Raw genomic sequence first — 1,811 nt, forward strand, 5'->3', positions numbered from 1 at the left:
CGCCCCGTCCGGGAGGGAGGTGGGGGGGTCAGCCCCCTGCCCGGCCAGCCGCCCCGTCTGGGAGGGAGGTGGCGGGGGTCAGCCCCCCACCCGGCCAGCCGCCCCGTCCGGGAGGTGAGGGGCGCCTCTGCCCAGCCGCCCCTACTGGGAAGTGAGGAGCCCCTCTGCCCGGCCAGCCGCCCCATCCGGGAGGGAGGTGGAGGGGGGGTCAGCCCCCCGCCCGGCCAGCCGCCCCGTCCGGGAGGTGAGGGGCACCTCTGCCCGGCCGCCTCTACTGGGAAGTGAGGAGCCCCTCTGCCCGGCCAGCCACCCCGTCCGGGAGGGAGGTGGGGGAATCAGCCCCCCGCCCAGCCAGCCGCCCCGTCCGGGAGGGAGGTGGGGGGGTCAGCCCCCCTCCTGGCCAGCCACCCCGTCCAGGAGGTGAGGGGCACCTCTGCCCGGCCGCCCCTACTGGGAAGTGAGGAGCCCCTCTGCCCGGCCACCACCCCGTCTGGGAGGTGTACCCAACAACTCATTGAGAACGGGCCATGATGACAATGGCAGTTTTGTGGAATAGAAAGGGGGGAAAGGTGGGGAGAGGATTGAGAAATCGGATGGTTGCCATGTCTGTGTAGAAAGGGGTAGACATGGGAGACTTTTCGTTTTGCTCTGTACTAAGAAAAATTCTTATCCTGTTGATCTGTGACCTTACCCCCAACCCTGTGCTCTCTGAAACATGTGCTGTGTCCACTCAGGGTTAAATGGATTAAGGGCGGGGCAAGATGTGCTTTGTTAAACAGATGCTTGAAGGCAGCATGCTCGTTAAGAGTCATCACCACTCCCTAATCTCAAGTACCCAGGGACACAAACACTGCGGAAGGCCGCAGGGCCCTCTGCCTAGGAAAACCAGAGACCTTTGTTCACTTGTTTATCTGCTGACCTTCCCTCCACTATTGTCCTATGACCCTGCCAAATCCCCCTCTGCGAGAAACACCCAAGAATGATCAATAAAAATAAATAAATAAATTAATTAATTAAATTAAAAAAAATAAAAAGGTTGACTACTTTCATTCAGCATGCCTCTGAGAATCATCCAAGTTGTTGCATCTATCAACAGCTCATTCCTTTTGATAGATAAGTAGTATTCCATTGTGTAAATGTACCACAGGGCTTTTTTAAATCCATTCATCCATGGAATGATATTTCGGTTGTTTGCTGTTTTTGACAATTATGAAGCAAGTTGCTATGAATACTGTGTACAGGTTTTTGTGCAAACATACGTTTTCATTTCTCTGAGGTAAATAAGTAGAAATGCGTCTGCTGGCTCATGTGGTAAGTGTAGGTTTAACTTTCTATGAAATTGCCAAACTGTTTTTCAGAGTGGCTGTACCATTTTCCTTTCTCATCAGCCATGTAGGAGAGTTCCAGTTGCTCCCATTTTCATCAGCACTTGGTATTGTCAGTATTTTTTATTTTAGTATTCTAATTGGTGTATCACCATACACTAATTATGGTTTTAATTTGCATTTTATGGTGTATCACTATACCTAATTATGGTTTTAATTTGCATTTTCCTAATGGCTAATGCTTTTAAACGTCTTCCCATATACTTATTTTCCATCTGTATATAATGTGTCTTGGTCTGTTTGTGCTTCTATAACAAAATACCTTAGACTGGGTAGTGTATAAACAATAGAAATGTATTTCTTACAGTTCTGGGAGGATGGGAAGTCCATGATCAAGAAGCAGATTTGATGTCTGATGAGGCCAGCTTTCTGCTTCCAAGATGGTGTCCTATGAATGAACGCTGTGTCTTCACATGGTGGAAAAGA

General features: G+C 50.1%; 1 annotated feature.

Annotated features, from left to right (window-relative positions):
* Positions 250-1,070: an enhancer, noted in NCBI's record as "NANOG-H3K27ac hESC enhancer chr2:230608102-230608922 (GRCh37/hg19 assembly coordinates)". NCBI's record gives its function as "activates a minimal SCP1, AML or CMV promoter by ChIP-STARR-seq in primed H9 embryonic stem cells {active_cell/tissue: H9 hESC(primed)}" and the evidence as "EXISTENCE:reporter gene assay evidence [ECO:0000049][PMID:30033119]".

Source organism: Homo sapiens, chromosome 2 (assembly GCF_000001405.40).
Source record: "Homo sapiens chromosome 2, GRCh38.p14 Primary Assembly".
NCBI lineage: Eukaryota > Metazoa > Chordata > Mammalia > Primates > Hominidae > Homo > Homo sapiens.